This window comes from Homo sapiens, chromosome 5 (assembly GCF_000001405.40).
Source record: "Homo sapiens chromosome 5, GRCh38.p14 Primary Assembly".
Taxonomy (NCBI): Eukaryota; Metazoa; Chordata; class Mammalia; order Primates; family Hominidae; genus Homo; species Homo sapiens.
The window spans coordinates 112,405,132-112,429,148 of record NC_000005.10 but is presented as its reverse complement, the minus strand read 5'-3'; the positions used below and the strand labels follow the sequence as shown (position 1 = coordinate 112,429,148).

Below are 24,017 nucleotides of genomic sequence, written 5' to 3'. Positions count from 1 at the left end.
AAAATGATTTCCAAATATGTATTTACCTAATGACTAGGTAACACATGTACGGAATAATAGGATGCAGAATTCTAAAGAGAAATACAGGGAAATGTTAAGTCTCAATTCTAGCTTGTCCACAAACCACCCATGCCCCTTTCCCAGAGGAAATGACCATTTTAGTTTTTCTTGGCAACTTCTTAATCAGAAGGCTAGACATGAGTTCAGAGATCATCTCCAGATGTTCTTTGCCAGATGTTGTGCTGGGATGCTCCTTCCCTAGGTACCACATTTAAGGAACAGCAATGTGTCATTACCAGAAGAAACAGGCGGAAAATCAGCCTGCTGGGCATGACAATGTAGAGGTGCCACAACTTACTCCAGGTTTTTTATTTTATAGAGGAGCATGCTGAGGTACAGAGAGATGATGTAGCTTCTTTAAGGTCACACAGCTAGTTTGACTTAAAATAAAAATGATTACAAGATAATAAAAGCTAATTTCCCCATTATTTTCCTCAAATTTCTATAGGTAGATTAATACCCCTATTACTAAGCTGGTGTTAACCAAATAAAGTTTCTATGAGGGATCAAACCAGAGCACATTAACCAGGTAAAATAGTCAATACATTGGAACTTAGGTTAGAACTTAGAAAAGGAGTCCAATTTTATGATAAAGGGGATATCACCACTGATCCCACAGAAACACACACTACCATCAGAGAATACTATAAACACCTCTACACAAATAAACTAGAAAATCTAGAAGAAATGGATAAATTCCTCAACACATACACCTTCCCAAGACTAAACCAGGAAGAAGTTGAATCTCTGAATAGACCAATAACAGGCTCTGAAATTGAGGCAATAATTAATAGGTTACCAACCAAAAAAAGGCCAGGACCAGATGGATTCACAGCCGAATTCTACCAGAGGTAGAAGGAGGAGCTGGTACCATTCCTTCTGAAACTATTCCAATCAATAGAAAAAGAGGGAATCCTCCCTAACTCATTTTATGAGGCCAGCATCGTCCTGATACCAAAGCCTGGCAGAAACACAACAAAAAAGGAGAATTTTAGACTAATATCCCTGATGAACATCGATGCCAAAATCCTCAATGAAATACTGGCAAACCAAATCCAGCAGCACATCAAAAAGCTTATCCACCATGATCAAGTGGGCTTCATCCCTGGGATGCAAGGCTGGTTCAACATACGCAAATCAATAAACATAATCCAGCATATAAACAGAACCAACGACAAAAACCATATGATTATCTCAATAGATGCAGAAAAGGCCTTTGACAAAATTCAACAACCTTCATGCTAAAACGTCTCAATAAATTAGGTATTGATTGGAAGTATCTCAAAATAATAACAGCTATCTATGACAAACCCACAGCCAATATCATACCGAATGGGCAAAAACTGGAAGCATTCCCTTTGAAAACTGCCACAAGACAGGGATGCCCTCTCTCACCACTCCTATTCAACATAGTGTTGGAAGTTCTGGCCAGGGCAATCACGCAGGAGAAAGAAATAAAGGGTATTCAATTAGTAAAAGAGGAAGTCAAATTGTCCCTGTTTGCAGATGACATGATTGTATATCTAGAAAACTCCATCTTCTCAGCCCAAAATCTCCTTAAGTGGATAGGCAACTTCAGCAAAGTCTCAGGATACAAAATCAATGTGCAAAAATTACAACCATCCTTATACACCAATAACAGACAAACAGAGAGCCAAATCATGAGTGAACTCCCATTCACAATTGCTTCAAAGAGAATAAAATACCTAGGAATCCAACTTACAAGGGATGTGAAGGACCTCTTCAAGGAGAACTACAAACCACTGCTCAATGAAATAAAAGAGGATACAAACAAATGGAAGAACATTCCATGCTCATGGGAAGGAAGAATCAATATCGTGAAAATGGCCATACTGCCCAAGGTAATTTATAGATTCAGTGCCATCCCCATCAAGCTACCAATGCTTTCTTCACAGAATTGGAAAAAACTACTTTAAAGTTCATATGGAACCAAAAAAGAGCCCTCATTGCCAAGTCAATTCTGAGCCAAAAGAACAAAGCTGGGGGCATCATGCTACCTGACTTCAAACTATACTACAAGGCTACAGTAACCAAAACAGCATGGTACTGGTACCAAAACAGAGATATAGACCAATGGAACAGAACAGAGCCCTCAGAAATAATGCCCCGTGTCTACAACTATCTGATTTTTGACAAACCTGACAAAAACAAGAAATGGGGAAAGGATTCCCTATTTAATAAATGGTGCTGGGAAAACTGGCTAGCCACATGTAGAAAGCTGAAACTGGATCCCTTCCTTATACCTTATACAAAAATTAATTCAAGATGGATTAAAGACTTAAATGTTAGACCTAAAACCATGAAAACCCTAGAAGAAAACCTAGGCAATACCATTCAGGACATAGGCATGGGCAAAGACTTCATGTCTAAAACACCAAAAACAATGGCAACAAAAGCCAAAACTAACAAAGGGGATCTAATTAAACTTAAGAGCTTCTGCACAGCAAAAGAAACTACCATCAGAGTGAACAGGCAACCTACAGAATGGGAGAAAATTTTTGCAATCTACTCATCTGACAAAGGGCTAACATCCAGAATCTACAATGAACTCAAACAAATTTACAAGGAAAAAACAAACAACCCCATCAACAAGTGGGCGAGGATATGAACAGACACTTCTCAGAAGAAGACATTTATGCAGACAAAAAACACATAAAAAAATGCCCATCATCACTGGCCATCAGAGAAATGCAAATCAAAACCACAATGAGATACCATCTCACACCAGTTAGAATGGCAATCATTAAAAAGTCAGGAAACAACAGGTGCTGCAGAGGATGTGGAGAAACAGGAACACGTTTACACTGTTGGTGAGACTGTAAACTAGTTCAACCATTGTGGAAGTCAGTGTGGCGATTCCTCAGGGATCTAGAACTAGAAATATCATTTGACCCAGCCATCCCATTACTGGGTATATACCCAAAGGATCATAAATCACGCTACTATAAAGACACATGCATGTGTATGTTTATTGCGGCACTATTCACAATAGGAAGGACTTGGAACCAACCCACATGTCCAACAATGATAGACTGGATTAAGAAAATGTGGCACATATACACCATGGAATACTATGCAGCCATAAAAAATGATGAGTTCATGTCATTTGTAGGGACATGGATGAAGCTGGAAACCATCATTCTCAGCAAACGATCGCAAGGACAAAAAACCAAACACCGCATGTTCTCACTCATAGTTGGGAATTGAACAATGAGAACACATGGACACAGGAAGGGGAACATCACACACTGGGGCCTGTTGTGGGGTGGGGGGAGGGGGGAGGGATAGCATTAGGAGAGATACCTAATGCTAAATGACGAGTTACTGGGTGCAGCACACCAACATGGCACATGTATACATATGTAACTAACCTGCACGTCGTGCACATGTACCCTAAAACTTAAAGTATAATTAAAAAAAAAAGAATAAAAAAAAAAAGAAAAGGAGTCCAATTTTAAATGAAGGCCAATTTCATTAACCGGTAATTTGACAGATTCTTTGGTTTAATATGAGAATTTATTTTCATTTTAAATTATTCCATACTCATTGTAAAAAATCAATTTTTTTTGAGATAGGGTGTCATTCTTTTGCACAGGCTGGAGTGCAGTGGCACGATCTTGGCTCACTGCAACCTCTGCCTCCAAGGCTCAAGCAATCCTCTTGCCTCGGCCTCCCAAAGTGCTGGGATTACAGGCATGAGTCACTCAGCTTTGCTCCAAACTTTCTTTTAAAAACAAACAAAAATGGACTTTCCTCTTTGCATTATTATATAAGCTGTTCTTTTAGGAGACTTTGTCTAGTTTTTAAAATAACAAAATGACTTTTGCCAATTTGATTGAAAGAGATTCCAAAGATTGGCATGAGTAGAGTGAAGTGGGTATTTTGATACGTTGTTGGTGGAACTGTAAATTGATTCAGGCTTTCTGGATTGCAGTCTGTCATAATGACAATAAATAAATTAAATATGCATATAGTTTGATTCACAAGTTCCATATCTAGGAATTTATCTTTATCAAATAATAGACAAATACATGTAAAAATGTTTACTACAGCATGTTTATATTTTTATAACAATCTAAGTGCCAAATTTGAGCTGTTTAATTAATTATAGTGTATGCATATAACAGAACACCTAGGAAAGATGAAATGGAGATATATTCACTGGCATGGAAAGTTATTAAAGGTAAGCAATGAGGTTAAAAAAAACAGCAGCTTATATAATAGTGCAAGAGGAAAGTTCGTTTGTGTTTTTAAAAGAAAGGGGAGCTAGGGTGTTTCAAATTTCCAGACTATTTTTGCTAAATACAAACCACATTAATGCATTCACTACCAAGGATTAATACCTGTGCAAAATAAGAATTCTCAGTAAACCCCAAAGAACATTTATTTGAAGATCACAAGGATGAAGAACCAGCTTAGATTGCAGGGAATTCTTGGGAGATGGTTTCCCTTGAAACATAGGTAACAGCCTTGAGGTATTCTAATAAATGGGATCTAAGGCCTCAGTACTTAGAAAAGAAGACAGCTGGTTAATGACATACCTATATGTGAAGTGAGTCAGGAGGCAGAATGGTCTTAAAAACTGGATGTGCCTGGGCACATACTATATTAGAAATAAAAATAAGTAAGGTGTCCAAAGAAACTAAGCAGTAGTATGATGAGACCAAATTAGGGATATTTCCCTTAACAACTACTCCTTCTGATGTTATCTACTTGGCAGGATCTTCAATACTTTCTCTTTGACAGGCATTAATTTGATGAATGAGGCAAAATAACAGGGAGGCTACTAGTGAAGAATGACTTTCTTCCCAAATTATTCACAGGTAATGAGGAACAACTATTTTTTTTGAAAGACAATCTCCAGAGCAGTGATTCTCAAAGTCCGCTTGCCAATCTGCAGCATTAGCATCACCTGGGAACTTGTCAGAAATGCAAATTCTTAGGTCCCATTCCATGACTACTAAATCAGAAACCCTGGGGTTAGGGCCAGAAATCAGTGTTTTAACAAGCCCTGGTGATTCTGCTGCGTTGCTCTCAGGTATGTTAGTAATTAAATTATTTATGTATCTATTGTCAAGAAATTCAGGCTTCTTTCTTTTACGTATTACAGTTAACTTTCTTAAGTTTGAAAAATGTAAGATTATAAAAAGATCACAGAAGATTGTTTAAATACATCTTACTAAAAAGAATATGGTGCTTTAAAAAGAATTCTGAGTTTGCATTTTGAAATACATGTTTCAGCAAGGGGTGGGGGCCTGTTTTACGTAAAATGAAATTTCTTCTTCCAGATTGAGGATTCCTGCAGTCTTTCACAGATGGAAGCCCTGCATATTTCTGTAGAATTATGTTTATTCTGAATTTATTTGCCATTTGACTCGTCTACCTAGGCTTATCATGACAAAATGTTAATGTTTAACATTTAACAAAATGTTAAAACAAAAATCACTGAAAAGAGATCAAAGCCTTTGATGCAAAGCTTTAAATAGAGCATATTATGTTATGCACATGTTGAAAACTATATGATTTTCCTGGGAAAAAGTGTTTGAATAGCATCTTGTTAATTTGTTTCTCTGGATAGGCAGAGAAAGTCTTCCTCCAAAATCTTAAGGAAGGTCTATGTTCAGCTTTTTAAGAAACTACAAAACTTATCCAAAGTGGTTATACCATCTTGCATGCACTCCAGGATTATGAGAATTTAAATTGCTCCACATCCGGCCGGGTGCAGTGGCTCTCGTCCATAATCCCAGCACTTTGGGAGGCCGAGGCTGGCGGATCATGAGGTCAGGAGTTCGAGACCAGCCTGGCCGATATGGTGAAACCCCGTCTCTACTAAAAGCACAAAAATTAGCTGGGCGTGGTGGCACGCGCCTGTAGTCCCAGCTGCTCAGGAGGCTGAGGCAGAAGAATCGCTTGAACCCGGGAGGCAGAGGTTGCAGTGAGCTGAAATTGTGCCACTGCACTGCAGCCTGGGTGACAGAGCGAGACTCCATCTCAAAAAAAGAAAAAAAAAATTGCACCACATCCTCACCCACACTTAGTGATATGGTAGCTTGGTAGCCATTCTATTAGGTGTCTAGTGGTATCTTATGGTGATTTTAATTTGCATTTTCCTAGTGACTAATGATGTTGATCATCTTTCCATGTGTTTATTTGCCAGTTGTATATCTTCTGATCCAGTCATTCTACTCTGTATTACAAAAGAAACAAAAGCACATGTACATATAAAGACATGGATCCTTTCTATGGGCTGAATTGTGTTCCCTCAAAATTCATATGTTGAAGCCCTAACCCAATGTGACTGTTTAGAGATAGGGTCTATAAGGTGGCAATTAAAGTTAAATGAGATCCTAAGAGTAGAGCCCTGATACCATAGGATTAATGTTCTTGTAATAATCGACCCGAGGGTGCTATCTTGGTGTCTTTCTCTCCCCAACCCTCCTTAATATTTCTGTCTCACCCTCCTTTTCTCCCTCTCTTCTCCTTCTATTCCTCTTCCCTTTCCCCTTCTCTCTGAAAGCACACAAAGATGTCATGTGAGCACACAGTAACCTGGAGCCTTCCTTCAAGTCAGGAAGGTGCCTCACCAGAAACTGACCATGATGGCACAGTAGTCTTGAACTTCCAGGCTCCAGAACTGTGAGAAAATAAATGTCTGTTGTTTAAGCCATCCAGTCTGCTGTATTTTGTTATAGCAGCCTGAGCTGACTAATACAATCCCCATAGCAGCTTTATTTGTAATAGTCAAAAACTGGAAACCACCTAAATGAATGGAAAAACAAATTGTGGTATATACATACAATGGAATATTATTGAACAATAAAAATAAATGAACTATTTATATTCACAACAGCATGGTTAAATCTCAGTTGTGTCCAGTGAAACAAACCAGACAAAAAGGAGAGTTCACACTGTATGATTCAATTGGTATTAAACTCTAGAAAATGTAGCTAAATGATGGTGACAGAAAGCAGATCTATGGTTGCCTGGGAGGTGAGTCGTACTGAGGAATGGGAGTGTAAGATGACAAAGTGGCCAGGCGCGGTGGCTCACACCTGTAATCCTAGCACTTTGGGAGGCTGAGGCGGGCGGATCATGAGGTCAGGAGTTTGAGACCAGCCTCGCCAGCATGGTGGAACCTTGTCTCTACTAAAAATACAGGGCATGGTGGCGCACTCCTGTAGTCCCAGCTACTTGGGAGGCTGAGGCAGGAGAATTGCTCCAACCCGGCAGGTGGAGGTTGTAGTGAGCCGAGATCGCGCCACTGCACTCTGATAGAGCGCGACTCTGTCTCAAAAAAAAAAAAAAAAAAAAGAAAGATGACAAAGTGCAGGAGGAAACCTTAGGGAGGGATGAATATGTGTACTAGCTTGATTATGGTGGTGGGTTCATGGGTGCACACTTATGTCAAAACTTATCAAATTGTACACTTAAAAATTATGCAGTGAACTGTATGTAAATTATATGCAATAAAGCTATCCTTAGAAACTCTGTGGAATCCTCTTGTCACTAGTAATCTCTAATTTTGTGTTAAATAGATTTTAAATGTTCTTTTCTCCAGTCTCCGATAAAGAAATGGAAAAGAAAATGCTTCACTCAGGAAAGAGTGTCATATGTATGGGACCTTATGGCTTTGTAACTTACCTTATGAGGAGCTGGGAACAGAATCCCTGCCCATCCAAAACCCTCAGCCTTCTCACTGCCACTGGAGGTAAAAAAACAAAAACAAACAACAGCAAAACCAAAAATCAGAAAGCAAAAAAACCAAATCAAAGGGCCAAAAAACAGGTGAGAGCAAAACTCAAAAAAACTGGGAACAGATGATTGCTTGAACCTTTTGTTTTTGCAGCCTCAAGTGTCTCGGTTGGATATGGAGGTAAAGAATGAAAATGTTAAGCCATCTTTCAATCACATTTGGTAACTCCTGTCAGGAATACTGTATTACAGAAAAGAAAAGCCTCTACAAGCAGAAATGCTAAAATCTAGCATAATAAGGTGTCACCTCATAAGGCAGGCAAGACTTTGACAATAAAACAAAGCTGGACACGAAATTTGATCAGAAATTCAAAACCTGAGTCAATTTCACAGAAAATTCAGAAGATAAAATAGTTTTATTCATAGCCTAGGTAAAGTTCAGAAATTTATATTGCACTTTGGCGGTTATGCTGATCCTGTGTTTGGATGGGGTCACAATAGCAGGGAAGGCCGAGGCTTCCTACAGAAGGTCCTTTGTGGCAAATCACTATGAGAGGAAACTCCATCAAAAGTCGCCAATTGTTCATTTCATTTCTACTGTGCTACGGAAGCCTGGTTTTGTTTTAAGGGCTAACGTCCTAGGTTTTAAGCAATTTTTTTTGAGCTTTGGCTACCCAGCTAACAAGCAGTAGAATAGTCAACTCAAAACTACGTCTGATGCCAAAGCTCTAACTCTAAAACTCAATATAGAGTTTTTTTTCTGTGACACCTCCCCTCGTGTCTCCCCTAACTGCGACTCGCATTAACTCGCTGCTGGTTCCCAGCTGGAGAGCACAGATTGCACCTGCTCCGAAGCCCAGCGGGGCTCAGTGTCGTCCGCAGCTCAACCTCGGCTGCCTGTGCACGGACATCGGGACCCACCAGGGGTCACTGCAGCTTCAGAGCTATTGTGCCCCTCAGTCCTGGACGCGGCCGACCGCGCGGAGGGCGTGGGATTGGGACCGCCGAACCGTGGGGTCCGAGCAGCACCGCGTCCTCTTCTCCCCACCCAGCCTCCAGGTCTCTCGGGGGAAGGACGCAGCGAGCGCTGGACTGCCCCGCGGCTTGGGCGCAGTGTGCGGCTTGGCAGCGTGGACTCGCCGGCACCTCGCCGCTGGGACCACGGTCTCTGCCCCGCCCTCCGCCCCCAGCTGATACCCCGCCCAGAAGGGGCTCCCCTGCCGCGGCCAGCGCTGGACTGGGGGGTCCGCTTCGTTCCAGGGCTTTTTGCAGACGCCTGGACCGGGCCCACATGCACCTGGGCTGCTCCCGCCCGGGGCGCCACCACTCGCGCGGCCAAGAGAACTTTCCCCGGAGCCTCTGCGGCCTGGCGCGCCCAGGGCGCACCCCCCGCTCGCCCGTCCGCCGCGTTCCCAGCTGGGGCGTCGCTCCTCCGCCCGCAGGTCCCCGCCTCCCCGCTTTGCTGAATGTCCTGAAGAAGCCGTATTCCGCCGCCGCGGCAGGCATTCCCGGAGGGAGAGCTTGAACTTGGCTACACACGGCCACCCGTAATGAGCTCGGGAGTCCCCGGACGGGAGCCACACCCCGCGACGAGCTGACCTCCCCTCGCTGGTCTGGGTAAGGAGCCTGCTGCCCTTTCCGCCTCTCTTCCGGCTCCTCGGCGCTTGCGGCTGGGGGACGGGGTAGCGGACGGAGCGACGACCTTCGCCTCTGCCCCTGCGCCCATGGTCGGGGCGTCGTGGGTGCTCCTCACACAAAAGAAAAGCCGAGCGCTTCATACTCGGCGGATCTGACCCGGGGCTGCGGGGCGGGGTCGCGGCTGGAAGTGCGCGCCCGCGGGGGACTCCGCAGGCCGATCGGACGCCAGGACGTCGGGGCCGCGCTCAAATCCGTGCGGCAGGAGGGAGGTGCAGCGCTTCCAGGGTTTTCCAAGGCCGGGGAGAGCCTCGAATTCCCATCACTCCTTTTTCTGGTCTCTTGCCCCCAGTGCCAGGAGACTTTTGTCGTCCCCAGGACTGCGGGAGGGGCCCCGCGCCCCCGCCTTCGGAGGAGCTCGAGCCGCAGGATGCGCGGGGACGCGCCACCGCCCTCCGCGCCCAGTTCCGCCGGCGCTTCCCCGGCGGCTCCCGGGCGCTGACTCTCCCGGGCTTTTCCGCCTTTCTCGCTCCCGCCCCGCCGGGCGGTTCGGCGGCCGGTCCCCGGACCCCGCCGGGAGCTGCTCGTCTCACCCTCGCCACGGCGCGGACAATAAATTAATGCATCGCGCTTGAGTGGAGGGGGCGGCTGGGCGCCTCGGTGGTAGCTTTCTCTCCTGGCTGGAGACGACCACAACCGACATGGGCTGTTTCTGCGCTGTTCCGGAAGAATTTTACTGCGAAGTTTTGCTCCTGGATGAATCCAAGTTAACCCTTACCACCCAGCAGCAGGGCATCAAGGTGGGTGCGGCCCGGAGCGCGTTCCGGGGGTTGGCGGCAGGGCGGGTGCGGGGGTCCATCGCTTTGAGGGCTGTCACCGGTGGGTCGAGGGCGGCGGCCGCGACTCTGCGCGGTGGGGAGGAGAGGCCGCTGTCCCCTGCGCGCAGGGAGAGGGTGGACGTACCAGGGTGAGTTAACTTTGAGTTCCTTCATAAAGCAAAGTTGAGTTTGACGTTTCTAAGTTTACTCAGCACACCGGCTCCCAGCAGCACCCCAAAACTCTTCCCCAAACCGGTTTTCTCCAAAAGCCTCTGGGTGCCCCGCAGCTCTCAAAGAGGGGCAGAATGGGTTATACCAGCTGCGTCCCACCAGTGTGGAAGGCATGGTTTCCCTCGACTTTGTTGAAGGCGTTTTCCTTGACAGTGTTATTAGGGAAGTGAACTAGTTCACTCGTTGAAACGCATTAATGGGTCATTGTGATTGTTTTGCGTGGGTTCGTAGTTGGGTAATGCTACGTTTGGACGGAAAATATTTTCCCTTTCTACAGCGACCTGGGTTTATCCTCACATTTAAGTAAACATCTCTCAAAGCGACCCAGTAATAACTTTGCTCCTGTTTGTGGGTCATTAAAATGCAATCACTACATTAACCTAGAGAGCCCAAACAAAAAGGCAGCAGAGCTCGCAGAGATCCTCTTCCTTACATTGGATGAGAAGGTACGTATGTTTGTAGTGACAACCTGACCGACGCGCCTGCGTGCTTGTTTTGCTTTTGCAACAGTGTTAACTACCTAAAGGAGATCTAAATCCGGAGCGTTTTGTTGTTTTGTTTATCTTTCTCTTTCAGTTTTAGATCGCTAAGGCATTTTAGATAAGGCAACAGCTGAGTCTGGTGAAGGGAAACCGCCCCCCCGCCCCCGCTCTGATAGAGCTGGCTTTCTGAGAAATCGAGTTCAGGCTGCCAAGTATCCTCTCTTAGTCGCTTCATCTCAGAAGTTAATCATAATGGGGTAGGCCCTGGGCATTTCCTTTTGTGAATCAGTTTTTACATAGTTTTATGCACACTAGGATAACTATTCCTGGCTAAAAGTTTCAGCGTTAATGTTGCCATTCTTAGTGTACAGAATTCCAGTTTCATAGGTGTAATTCTTTTGCGGGAGAAAGGAGCAAAAATAATCAGTTAAAGCTACAAGATTGTTAACCCTTTCCTTTAGGAGGTTGTTTTGAATATTGTTTCCCCAGTAATTATACTGAGCAAAATTCAGTTCGATTCTCATTCGGTATTTCCTTTCAAGACCAATAAAATAGACTCTTTTCGGGGAGGGTGTACATTTTGTATTTTTAACTTTTCTTTATGTTCCAAAATATTTCTCCTCTCACCCGCCCAATGAAATCAGGAAAATATTGTAACTTACAAGATGATGTAACATTCTTTGGTGTACTGTATGAATAAAATAGGCAAAAATCACAAAAACATCCTAAATTGTAGATAATATATAGATTCTTGTGTCGAGATAGAAACAATTAGAAAAAGGTAACTGATGATCAGATACTAAGACAGTAAAGAAATCTTTTTGAAGTGCAAAGTCTAAATTATCTGGAGTCTAAAGTCATCTGGAATGTGAGCTTCCTATTTAATCATCAAAGTCATGCCTATCAGCTGTAGAGCGTGTACATTATTCTGTCAAGAGAGCAGCCAGGACTTGGGATCAAATGGAATAATTTTGTCAAAGAAACATGAATCAAAAATCCTGATCCATAATTATTTTTTATAATCCAGTGGTGCTTATCTTGTTTTACAAATGGGCTGAAAATTGGTGAGTGATTCAAAGGCAACAGCAACTATGTAATACTGTTACTTTGGATATGGGCCATATAACTAAACAATAATTTAAGCAGGCTGTTGTTGGAAATAATCATTTAACAACAGGCTTGGCCTCTGTCCTTGTCACAAAAGCATGCCACAATTATTTTGATGGCCATGTGTGTAACACAGATGTTGTCTGCTAAAGCTAATCACATTATCTTCTATGCTACCTTAAAAGTGTATGTGTTAAACACCTACCCACCCTTGGCGTGTACTAAATTAAATATATTTGCATATTTATAAATGGTGTGTATAAAAAAACTTGCATGTAGAGGTATTCAAACATTGGATGAACATGTTTATGTTCTGTACATACTTGACATTTTAAAAAACTTTTTCCTAACCTTCCTGTATTATGGTGCATAGGTACAATTGATGTGTGTTGCATTAATTACTTAAAATTAACTCCTACTTTAGTTTGTAAATGAAAAAGTAAACAGTTACTTCAAAGTTAATAGCCAGTAGCTACCATTATGGTGTTTTTCCTTGAGATAGTATACTTAGTAATTTTGATTACCACTAATTAAAGTCAAAATTAAGCAGGCAACATCAATTAGCCTACTGTTCTCTGAAATTAACTAGAAAAATCTCTATTTTTCAAAAGCATTTCCTAACATTTATTTTGTGATTATCCTTTTTCCTATTCTATCTTAGATGAAGATGGCTAATTTTACATTAAAATTATGCACACATTTCATCTCTTAGTAGAAATAATTTTACTGATTCCTAAATGGTTACTTGAGAATTTGCTTGTATTATTGTTACAGTAATGCACTGTGAATTAGAAAAGATTAATTATAGCAAGTTAAGGTGGAAGAAATATGAGAGAATCTTGGTAAACATTTTTTCTGTGTATCATTTTGAAAAACATTCTTTGGATTTATTTAAGCACCAAATTACAAATAGAAAAGTTAGTTTTGAAGTGATTTTTCTTCAACTTAGATAAAGTTTTTCATCGATGTTAGAAAAAAAATTAATGTGTCATCATGAAAAGTGTTTCAGCCTGAAGACAACAGTTACTCATCTTATATGGTAAGATGAATATCAGTTAAATGGAAAATAATTTTATTTCCATTTAATTTCCATTTAAATGGAAAATAATTTTCTGTTAAAAAAAAAATACCAGAAAAATAAAACACAGTATCTTTGCATCCCTGTTAATGTTACGGAGGTATTTGCCTTTTTTACTTGCTTTAGGGGCAACCTCACCTTGATAGCAGAAAGTCTTATTCATGCAGTTCACAGTTTGAACCTTATCCGAGATTTAAAAACTCAAGTTTACATAAGCTGAGAGCTATTGGTTGTGTGTTGAGCCCTACAATAGCTTTTAGCTGTTTGTCTTTTGCTGCTATCTGTTGTTTATTCAAGTAAGGATATTTGGTATGGTTGGTCTCAGTTGTTTGAGTAATGTTCTGGGAAACTTTTGTTGTATCCTTTCTAGTTCTCTGTGCTGAGGGAGGTAGATAACTTTCTTTTTGTTCTCTTAGCAAAACTTGAATGTGGCTCAGACTGCTTTTCTAGTTTTTCATTTGGTTAGCAAAACATTTTCAGGAAAACAAAAGTCACAAGATTTGATTATAAATTTAATTCTCAAAATTGCTGCTACAAATATGAAATAGATTAGTATTTTCATTTTGGCAAGATTTTAATCCTCTGAGTAGCATGATGAATGTTTAGGTGCTCATTTTTCCCTATGAGTATTGACTAAACTAATGAAACCAATATGGCAGTAAGATGAAAATTCCATTACCTTCTTTTAAATGGCTTTGTTAAGGTATACCATACATTTCGCCCAGTTAAAGTGTATAGTTCATCCATTAACTACTAAATAATGTTACTTCCCAATCATCCTGAGATTCCTGAGGGAATACTGTGAGTCAGTTTTGATGCTTTTGGTTAGAAATTTCCTAATAAGCTAGGAAAACAAGCATAAGGCGAGGGCTTAAATTTTATGCATCTCACTTACCAAAAATTACAATTTTCATTCAATTTGGACTAATAAATAAAATATCCCAGAAGATTGGGAAAAAATGAAAAGCAATAGTTTCACAAATTATATTAAGTTTATATGTGAATACTCATATCTTTTGGTATCAGCTACTTAAGGTACAGAGTCAGGAACCATATAAACGTAGGTAGAAGCAAGTAATCACACACAAACGTAAGATTCACTGTGGTCTTGATTGGGTATTAAATTAGATGTGACTGGGCTAGAAAGTGTCTCTCCTGCATAACTACATCCAGTTTTCTAAAATTCAAAAGTGATATCCAGGTTGTGGCCGCATAAGATGAACTGTGTATAAATAGCCCCTCAATTTTACAAGAAGTCTTTTTCTTGAAAAAAATTATTAAAAATACCTTTTATCATCCATGACTTGAATGTGATTTAATAACTGTTTAAGGGGGAAAGCATTGTTGGTTACCTCCAACAGCTTTTGGCTGTCCCTCCCTAGGTGCTTCTGGTATTCTTGGTTGATAGTGAACTACACTTTTTGCAGTCCAGTTACTGTGTGTGTTCTTGAATTCTGTATTGGTAAGCTTGAACTATCTTGAACTCCCTGTGGGAGTTTATCCTGTCCCTTGTAGGATACTTAGCAGCATTCCCTGCCTCCTCTCACCAGATGTGTGGCACCTCTTTTCCAATAATGACAACCAAAAATCTCCCCAGATGTTGCCAGATCTTCCCTGATGGGCATAATCACCCTCCGTTGAGAACCACTCTCATAGAGGATAGCAGCTTCCTTTGTTCTTATGTCTTTGTTGCACAGTTTCAATATTGAATGCGGGGTAACTTTTAGATGCCTTCTATTTTTTCTTTTTTCCCCCTCTTTTGGAATGGTGAGTTGTTTACCCTCATATTCAGTGAAAACAATATGTTATCTTTATCTTGCTTCATATTCAAGTATCTTTACACGTGCTTCATATCTTTATACACAAAACAATACCTGCAGTGATTAAAAGCATAGGCTCTAAAGTCAGATTACCTGGGTTTAAATTTTGGCACCGCTAATTACTTACTAGCCGAGTCGTTTCTGAGTTTCAGTTTCCCCATCTGTAAAATGAAGAGAAATGATGTACAGTATTCACCTTCTACATTCATGCTGTCTTGCACATGATAAGCACCCAGCAAATTTTAACTTTATTCCACCTTTCCTCCTCTTCTCCTTGTTGTAGTGGCTCATTCCTTCCTAGAGATAAAGTCCAAGCTTCATTGTTTGACTTAGCACCCTACCTGATCTAGCCCTGCCAGTCCAAGTGACTTGCCCTCTAGGTATGCAGAAACTGCTCACGGTTTCCCAAATATTCCAGATTGTTTTGAGACTTTATGCATGAGATTCCTGCTGATTGGTGTACCATTTTGTTTCTCCATAAACACATACTTATCGGAAGCATCCTTGAATCAAGTGTCCCATCTGCTAGGCAGCCTTCACTTCTGCCTGACCAAGCGGAGGTAGGTGCCTATTTGTGCCTCACACATCCCTGTTACAGCATCTGTCACACTGCATGCATTATTTCTGGACACATCTGTCTCCTCCAGCAGCCTGTGAGCTGCTACCTGTGATCCCCAGGAGTCAGAGCTGTATACTTCATGTGGTAGATGCTTATTAACTATAATTTGATAGAAGAATGAGTGGAGTGTTACAGCTGGAATAGGCTGTATTGAAAATCTTCTAGATAATGGAGTTCCTTTGCTATTTTATTTTTACTAGAAAAGACCCTAGAATAAAGTGAATCCCACTGTGAAAAATCTGTTGTCAAGATACTCTAATTTTTGTATTGATAATGGGTAGAAAATGAGACGGTGCAGTGGACTGAATGCATGCAGTACATTGAAAAGCTGACTAGCAGCTATTTCAGAAAACATGAATCACACCGTTTTTGTATTTTGTAAGTACCAAATCTTTCTCTTCTAAATTTAATGCTCCCCTTCCAACCTGAGTCTTTCCGAAGAAGAGCATATTTCCCAAATGGAAAATAGATCCTCATACTTTAGTGACTTTTCTTCCTTGTCTCCCATTCTTGAAACTGAGAACCATGTTGGTTGGTTTCACAGTGGGGGTTTATGCTATTGTGAACCAGCACTGTAATTTTTAATCTTGCTGAATCACCTGTGTGTTACTCTTGAAGCTGTTTAAACCTAATCTGACACTGCTCTAAGGCTTACTGGAAAAGATGGTGTAAATACATTAAATATTGGGTTTTTATGAAAAAATTATATTTTTCATTCTGATGCAAAGTGTGTTTGTCTGCAGGCCTGTTGTAAACATGACAAGTCAGAGATCAAACTGGCTGCATCTACGGCTCCTGCCTCTCTGAGATTGACTGCTTTGGTTCAGCTTTATCTCTGACAATTTTAATCACATCTGAAGCTCCTGCATATTGCTCCTGGTCATCCTGCTTTGGGTTGTGATGACTAACCACCGTTTGTTTCTGCACCATAAGTTTTGTTTCCACGTTTCATATGTTAAGATTAAACAGGCACCTGTTATCACATGTCCTGGGCATAGACTCAGTGTGCTAAATTCAGGAACCAGTCAGTTTACTTTGTGACTCAAAAACCTTGTAAGTACAATTTAGAGTGTCTATACCATTGTAAAAAATGTGATTGCATTCCTGTGTCCTCTGAGCCATGCATGTATTTCCTGTGTTCTTTTTTAAGTGAAATAGTCATTATGTCTTAATGCTGCGTATTGTGAATCCCTTTCTCTATAACTACACACTCTTGCAAAGAGATTCATCAAGGTCTGGAATAGTTCCTTCGGAGGCTGTCTTAATGATCGCTGAAGACATAAAGGGCCTGCAGCCCTTCCAAAATGTGTGAGAAGTTTGTTTTCCAGCACAGGATATTGACATGCCAAGAGGAAGTTAGAACAAGAGAGATGGGGACAGGCAGGGAAAACAGAGAAGTGCTGAGCGATAGCTCACACAGACAATAACCAAAAGGTCAGATGGCAAAGGAGGAATTGGTGGACCGAGACTGCAGAGGGAACCATGTGCTGCAGTGTATTGTTTAGGAACGACACCTTCTGAGCCCTCGGGAAAGCGCATTTAGTAATGTGGAGTCCTCATCTTGAGGGGGACTATGTTTCAGCGGTTGGTTAGAAAGTGCTTTGTTTAGAGAACAGTGGGGGCCGTGAGTGAGGGTCAGGTTGCTGAGCTAGCCCAGAGAGACTATTTGAGTTGTTAAATCACTCAGGTTCCACCTTGACCTTCATCAGACCTGTGTTTGAGAAGCAGGCTTGGAACCTCTGCTGCCTTAATTGCGACTTGTCGAAATTGGTTTTTCTCTGCCATCCTCGCTGCTCCTGACTTAGTTTGGCCCTTTCACCTGGGCCAGCCTCCTAATGGGAGTGCTGTATGGTCACCATCAGTCTTTCCCCTCCCTGCTCCCTGTCCTGTGTTCAATCAAATCCTTGTCTGCCTTGTAATTACTGGCTTTGTGATTGGACAAGTGATTTTTTTTTTTTTTGCCAGCCCCAGTTTCCTTATCTGTAAGCTGAGGGGCATGATATCTGCCTCATAGGATGACTGTGAGAATTTGAGGAAAGAATTTTAGGTACATAGGATAAAAGGTGCTCAATAAATGATAGCTATTAGTATGTATGATATATTATTTGCAAATACATTTATTTCTGAATTTCAGTTTGGGATATCGAATCTCTGCCACCCCTGCCTAAGGTTGCACAGGTTCTCCGAGGGGTATGAGTGGTTGTTAGAAGTGGGAGAGCAGTGGTGATTTGATATTCATATATATTTGTCAGATCTGTCTGTAGGAGAAATAGTATCATGTTCCATTTGTGCATCTACTCACATTGCCTCAACCACCACTAGAATGCTGAAACTCCACATCTGTACCTGTAGTCCCAACTTCCTTATTTTCTGGATTCTGATCACTTACTAGATTCTGCACTAGATGCCTAAGCCAGCCATCACTACCCTCCTCCAGACCTGCTTATCTTCCTGTGCTTCCAAGTTTGATGAATGATCTCACACTCTATCAGTAAAGATGCTTTGGTCACCAGTTATGGAGATACCATTGCAAACTACTTGAACATGAGGAAGTTTATTAGCTCACCTATCAGGGAATCCAGGGGCAAGGAAAGGAGGTTCAGGGCGGGTCAGTGACATCAAGGTCCCAGCTTCTCTCATTTCATCCTTGCTCTGCTATCTTGGAGCCAGTGCCATCCTCAGGTGGTAGCAATGGCCAAATTCTAGAGATGAAGAGGTGATATTTGTATATGGCAATATGTAGGATAGTAATAGAGACAGTCTTTTCTAGGAGAAAGGCTTTCTCCTGAAGTCCTCCAGCAGACTTCCCTTGAGTCTTTTAGCTAGAATGAGTCTCATGGCCATTCTTGGGCGATAAGGGCAATGGGATCACCTGTAGAAGAATAAAGGGTCTTTCCTGAAGCTGGGTGGGAGTGGGGTCAGTTTCCCTGAGGCCAGTGGCTACATGGGGGAGGGGCTCAGGAAGGAAGGAGGAGAGTTGTGGGTACTGTTGTCACCATCAGTGTCCAGTCTACCTCTTGGGTCAGGATCCTTAAGTTTCCACATCCTTCCAGGTCTTGGAATTCCCACCTCCTAAACATCTTCCAAATTGTTTCTTTTCCCCTGTTTTCATTGCTGCTGCACTTCAGGCCCTTCTCAGTTCTCAGCTGGACAATTTGCAGGGCCTCCTAATCCCTGCAAGGCCCCTGCTTCCAGCATTAACCACCTGCATCTAGAGTGCTCTTTCTTGCCTCCTGCCTAGAATACTTTAATGTCTAGTCAGCCTCTGTGCTTGGGTTAAATTCCTAGCTGCGAGTGGCAGTCATTTTCAAGTCCCAACCTCCTTTCTATTCTTTCTCCCACCATCTCCTCATACTTGTCTGATACTCTAGCCAGATGGAGCTGCTTCCTAGTCTCTGAATTTTCCACATTCCCTCTCACCTTTTTCTGTGTGTAGAAAGCCCCACCCACCTCCTTTTGTTTGAGTGATGTATCAGCTCTCATGAAGGAGAGTTCTGCCTAGGTTTCACTTTTTTGTGAAGACTTCTCCTTGATGCGGAGCTGGAGAGGCCCTCTTCTGACCCTAATCCAGACTGCATTTCATTGCAGTAGTTTTTGTACTTTCCTGCTCACCTTGACCTGGGAGGAATACAGTGAGGTGAAGAGGGCATAGGCTTTTGTCATAGACAAATCTGGCTTCGAGTCTCCCTCCTGTTGGTTAGTGCTGTGAACATGGCCAAATCACTTACCCTCTTTGAGTTGGCTTTCTCATCAGTAATAAGGGTAAGGCTGTCCACCTCATCATGGGATGCTATACATGAAACCCTTAGCTCCTTTCCCGGTGAGTGGTAGCAGCTGTTAGTAGGGATGGAAAGCCTTGAGGGAGAGAACTAGGTCTTTTTTATGGGATTCCCAGTCAAGCCTAGTTCCTAAAGAGTAGTAGGCATCAATGAATAAATGTTGAATTAATCTGAATAAGAAAAAGTATCTTTACGTTGACATAATCTGAGAAAGAGAAGGCATCTCTCTCCTTTCCGTTTTCTAGGTGTTCTTGGTATAACTGCTTGACTCCTCAATTTCTTATTTAATTTTTGAAAACTGCTTTATTGAGATATAAATTGTATACTGTACAACTTACCCATTTAAATTGTCCAATTCAGTGGTTGTTCATATATTTACGGAATTGTGCAGCCATCACCACAATCAATTTTATAAGATTTTCGTCCCTGCAGAAAGAAACTGAAAACCACTCTTCACTTCCTTCCAGCCTTCCATCCCCTGCCCCCACCACTGTGTAACCACTAATCTTTCTGTCTCTATAGTTTTGTGTATTCGGGACATTTCATATAAAAGGATTCATATGATATGTAATCTTTTGTGACTGTTTTCCTTCACTTGGAATAGTGTTTTCAAGATTCATTCACAATGTAGCACATATCAGTACTTTGTCATTTTATTGCTGAATAATATTCCATTGTATGGATGTACTATATTTTATTTATTCTTTCATCAGTCGATGGTCTTTTGGGTTCTTTACACTGTTTGGCTATTACAAATAGTATTGATATGAACAATCATGTACAAGTTTTTGTATAGATGTATGTTCTCATTTAATTTAATAATGCTTTAATTACTCTTGTGTATATACCTAAGAGTGGAATTGCTGGGTCATAAAGTTTAACAGTTTGAGGAGCTTCCAAACTGTTTTCCACCATGACTTCATCATTATGTATAAGGGTTCTAATTTCTCCACATTCTCACCAGCGCTTGTTATAAATCTTTTTTTATTATCATCCTATTGGGTGTGAAGTAGCATCTTATTGTGTTCATTTGCATTTTTCTCTGGTGACTAATGATGTTGAGCATCTTTTCTTGTGCTTACTGGCCCTTTTTTTTTTTTTTTTTTTTTTTTTTTTTTTTTTTTTTTTTTTGAGATGGAGTCTCACCATGTTGCCCAGGCTCGTTTGAAGTCCTGGCCTCAACTGATTCTCCCAAAGTGGGATTATGGGCATGAGCCACTGCACCTGGCCGTATTGGTCATTTGTATATCTTTTTTGGAGAAGTGTCTGTTTACATTGTTTGCCAGTTTTTAAAACTGATTTGTCTTTTTGAGTATAAGAATTTAAAAATTCTGAATGCAAGTTCCTTATCAGATGTTTAATTTGCAAATATTTTCTCCCATTTGGGTCATCTTTATACTTTCTGAAGGGTTCCTTATATACCCACAAATTTTTGATTTTGACGAAGTCCAGTTTATCTATATTTTTTCCTATGTTGCTTGTGCTTTTGGTGTCATATCTGAGAAACCATTGCCTAACCTAAGGCCTGAAGATTTACTCTTATGTTTGCTTTTAAGATTTTTAATAGCCTTAGGTCTTACATTTAGGTCTATGACCCATTCTTCATTTGCACATGTCGCAACACCATTTGTTAAAAAGACTGTTTTTTTCCATTGAATTGTCTTGGCACCCTTATAAAAAAAATCAATTAAAAATAAATGTGAGGAGTTAACTCTGGGCTCTGAATTCTATCCCATTGATCTACATGACTATCTTTATGCATCTTGTTTATTTTTACTAGTTCCTTGGTAAGGTAGATGTGGGTAATTCAACAGAGAAAACATTCCTAGTTAAAAACATTTAATATTTTGAGAAAAATTTCCTGTAAACTTCCTGGAGCAGCGACACTGTATATTTTGCTCACTGTTAAATCTTCAAGAACCTAAAAGAATGCCAGGCACGTGGTGGTGCTCAGTAAATATTTGTCAAAAGACTGATTGAAGGATTGTTTTAGTCCTGCTGCTGCTAATGCTTTTGTAACTTAAAACTGTGCTTGAATATTTAGACTTCCAAAACTTTTCTCTATAAGCTCTGAGTGTTGTTATTTATGTTCTGTTAAGGATTTGGCTTTGGTTCTTGTAGGATTTTTCTGTAAATCACTTGGTGGAAGACTGGAAAAAAGGGTATTTGCATAGGTTTTATGAATAATTTTTTGGTAGGTTTGACAGGTGAAGATGTTAATGTCATTTAAATATACATGGATTTTCATCTATTATCTTGAAACATATTTAGCAGGTTTTAGAGTGCAATGTGTGCTGCTTTCCTCACAGGAAATAATGTAGACAGCTGGAAGACTGCTTCTAAACACACACACCCTTCCCACCTCCATGACTTCCTTTCAACCTTGAACTTTGGGGATTTCTAGCAGGATTGTAGGTTAAGGCATTTGGAGCAGCTGTGGCTTTGTGGAATTGAACTACAATCCTCTATGACTGAGGGAAATTGTAGGAAATCTTAGTGGTATCAAAACTGGCATAATATAAGCTTTACAGTCTTTTCTGGATGGCACATTTTAAAAGTCAATAGTATTCAAACGCTTGAAAAATCCCAATAAATGTGTGGGCTACTGCTCCCTTTGTCAAGAGAATCTCAAGCATTCAGAATCTAGATAATGTGGTAGCTTCACAAAATCTTTCACACGAACTCGTTTCTGCTTGTCATTGCTTTTTCCTGTCAGCCACTCATGCTTTTGCCCAGTAGTTCTACTGTCTGATCCTCTGCACCAAAGCTGCATGCAGTCCCATATCCTCAGTTAATTCAGCCCCACGATGCTACCCAAAGTGCAGCAGACAGCCAGGGCAAGAGTGTGGAAGAGCTGACATAATTACAACAGAGTGGGTTTCAGTTATGATGGAAAGTTAGGCCTGACATGGACATTTGGAGTCATCTAATCCAGCCCACACTTTCTACAGGGGAGGGAACAGAGACTTAGCACATGGGCCTAGACTCTTCTCTCTGGTTTTTCTCTTGGTTCTTTTTTTGGTGCTCACTCACTGTGTCTTTGCAGCATGGGAGGGAAGAACTGAGAACTGGTTGTAGAGGCAGAAGTCAGAATTTGCCGAACATCATGTAGATTTCACTGCCAATCCCATCACCTCCCATACTCCTAACTGCGCCCTTCCCTTCTCCCCACCCCCAGCCCTTAAATTAAGCCATCTCAGGCCTCTGGTCTGTTCCTATGACCTTAGCATTTGGATTTGTAGAACTCTTCCTGGTTAGGTTCTGTGAGAGAGAGTGTCTTCTGCTCGAGGGAAGCTTTAAAAAAATTACATAAGAGATGGCTTGCGTGGAATTTCTTTTCAGAATGATACTTATTGCACTGCATTTTAATTTTTAGTATTAGAGCTTATGTCACTGAGTGTTTCCTTGGTCTTTATTTTGTAAAGCCTTTTCCCTGAGTTTTTAAAGCTCCATGCTGCATATCTCTCCAGGAAATAAAATTAAAAACTGATCAGTGACTCTTCTTATTGCCTGAAGAAGGATGCAGAGAAGAAAGCAGAAAGGTAAAATTGCTCTTTCGTTGAAAGGTTTCAGATGGACCAATCATTAGGAGGCTAATAGATCTTTTCCCTTGATAATGATTATTTTGTGCTTCTGCTGCTGTTTACAAGGGCGCTTGGAGGATGTGCAAATTTTCCAGAATTCCTTAGGGAGCCTGCTTCTTTTTCTTTCAGACACTGTTTTTACATCATGTTCTCCAGCAGTTATTTGAAGATAAATATGTTTTGAGTGTGAGGGTATATTGGGGTCTGGACCAATGCTATGTGACCATAATTGTAGGTTTGGATTTGTGAACTCAATTCTACAAGAATATATTCAGAGCTTATTGTGTACCTAGTAGCATCCAGGATTTCTGGTGGGATAGTGAAATAAAGGGAGGACTCTTGCCTGTAGAAGTTTAACTGTTAGGTGGGGAGACATTTATTTATAAAACAACAGAGTATGATATGAGACAATTTATAATCAAGTATTGAATCATGTGGTGGAGATTCTTAAGAGGTACAGAAATTCTTGTAAGAAATTGTTTCTTATGTGCCAAGGTGAAGTTAATCAGGAAAGGTATTTTAGAAAAAGTGAATACAGGTTGAACTGTGCCTTATCTGAAACCCTCGTGGCTGGCTCTGTTTCAAGATCTAAAATATTTCAGATTCTAGGGTGGTAATGTAATGTATGTATTATATAGCATCCCCAATCACCTCTGGGGAGGCACCTCATAAAACAAGCACATAAATTGGATATTCACAAAAGTAGAGACTCTAAGTAGCCTTATACTAGTTTATAACAAATTTTGCTCCTGCATTATCTATTGCTATGTGGCAAATTATGGACAAAACTTAGCAGCTTTAAAAGAACCAGTATTTATCATCAACAATTTCTGTGGATCTGGCATCCAGGAGCCATTTGTTGGAGGATTCTGGTTCCAGGTCTCGCATGAGGTTGCACTCAAGTTGTGGCTGAGGCGTCAGTCATCTGGAGATGGTGGATATGGGCAGCCCTCAGTTCCTCACTGGCCTTCAACAGAAAACCATAGGCCCTCACCATGTGGGCTGCTCCATAGACTCCTGAGTACTTTGCAATATGGCAGCTGACCTCCCTCCATGGAAAGTGACCCGAGAGAATATGAGAGAATGCGAGC

General features: G+C 41.2%; 1 protein-coding gene and 1 long non-coding RNA gene across 16 annotated transcripts in view, besides 1 other annotated feature; one reads left to right on the top strand and one right to left on the bottom strand.

The window, feature by feature from the left end:
* On the bottom strand, positions 8,171 to 9,566 carry EPB41L4A-DT (EPB41L4A divergent transcript). Its single transcript, NR_027706.1, has one exon. It is a non-coding gene; the product is annotated as an EPB41L4A divergent transcript (long non-coding RNA).
* Positions 9,118 to 9,207: a silencer, noted in NCBI's record as "silent region_16236". NCBI's record gives its function as "represses an Ori minimal core promoter by ATAC-STARR-seq in GM12878 lymphoblastoid cells {active_cell/tissue: GM12878}" and the evidence as "EXISTENCE:reporter gene assay evidence [ECO:0000049][PMID:35858748]".
* The window catches only part of EPB41L4A (erythrocyte membrane protein band 4.1 like 4A), a 278,107-nt gene continuing 263,303 nt past the window's right edge, over positions 9,214 to 24,017 (top strand). For 6 of the 15 annotated variants that reach the window (XR_001742173.3, NR_144931.2, XM_011543533.3 and 3 more), the window contains exon 1: positions 9,872 to 10,208. Coding sequence is in view for 12 of the 15 variants with exons in the window: in XM_011543533.3 (XP_011541835.1) it covers positions 10,110 to 10,208 (99 nt within the window). In the remaining 3 variants the exon portion in view is untranslated. Of the gene's footprint in view, positions 9,391 to 9,760; positions 10,209 to 10,709; positions 10,904 to 24,017 lie in introns of those variants that run through there. The other 9 variants (XM_011543531.4, XM_047417471.1, XM_011543532.3 and 6 more) reach the window with 3 other exon arrangements.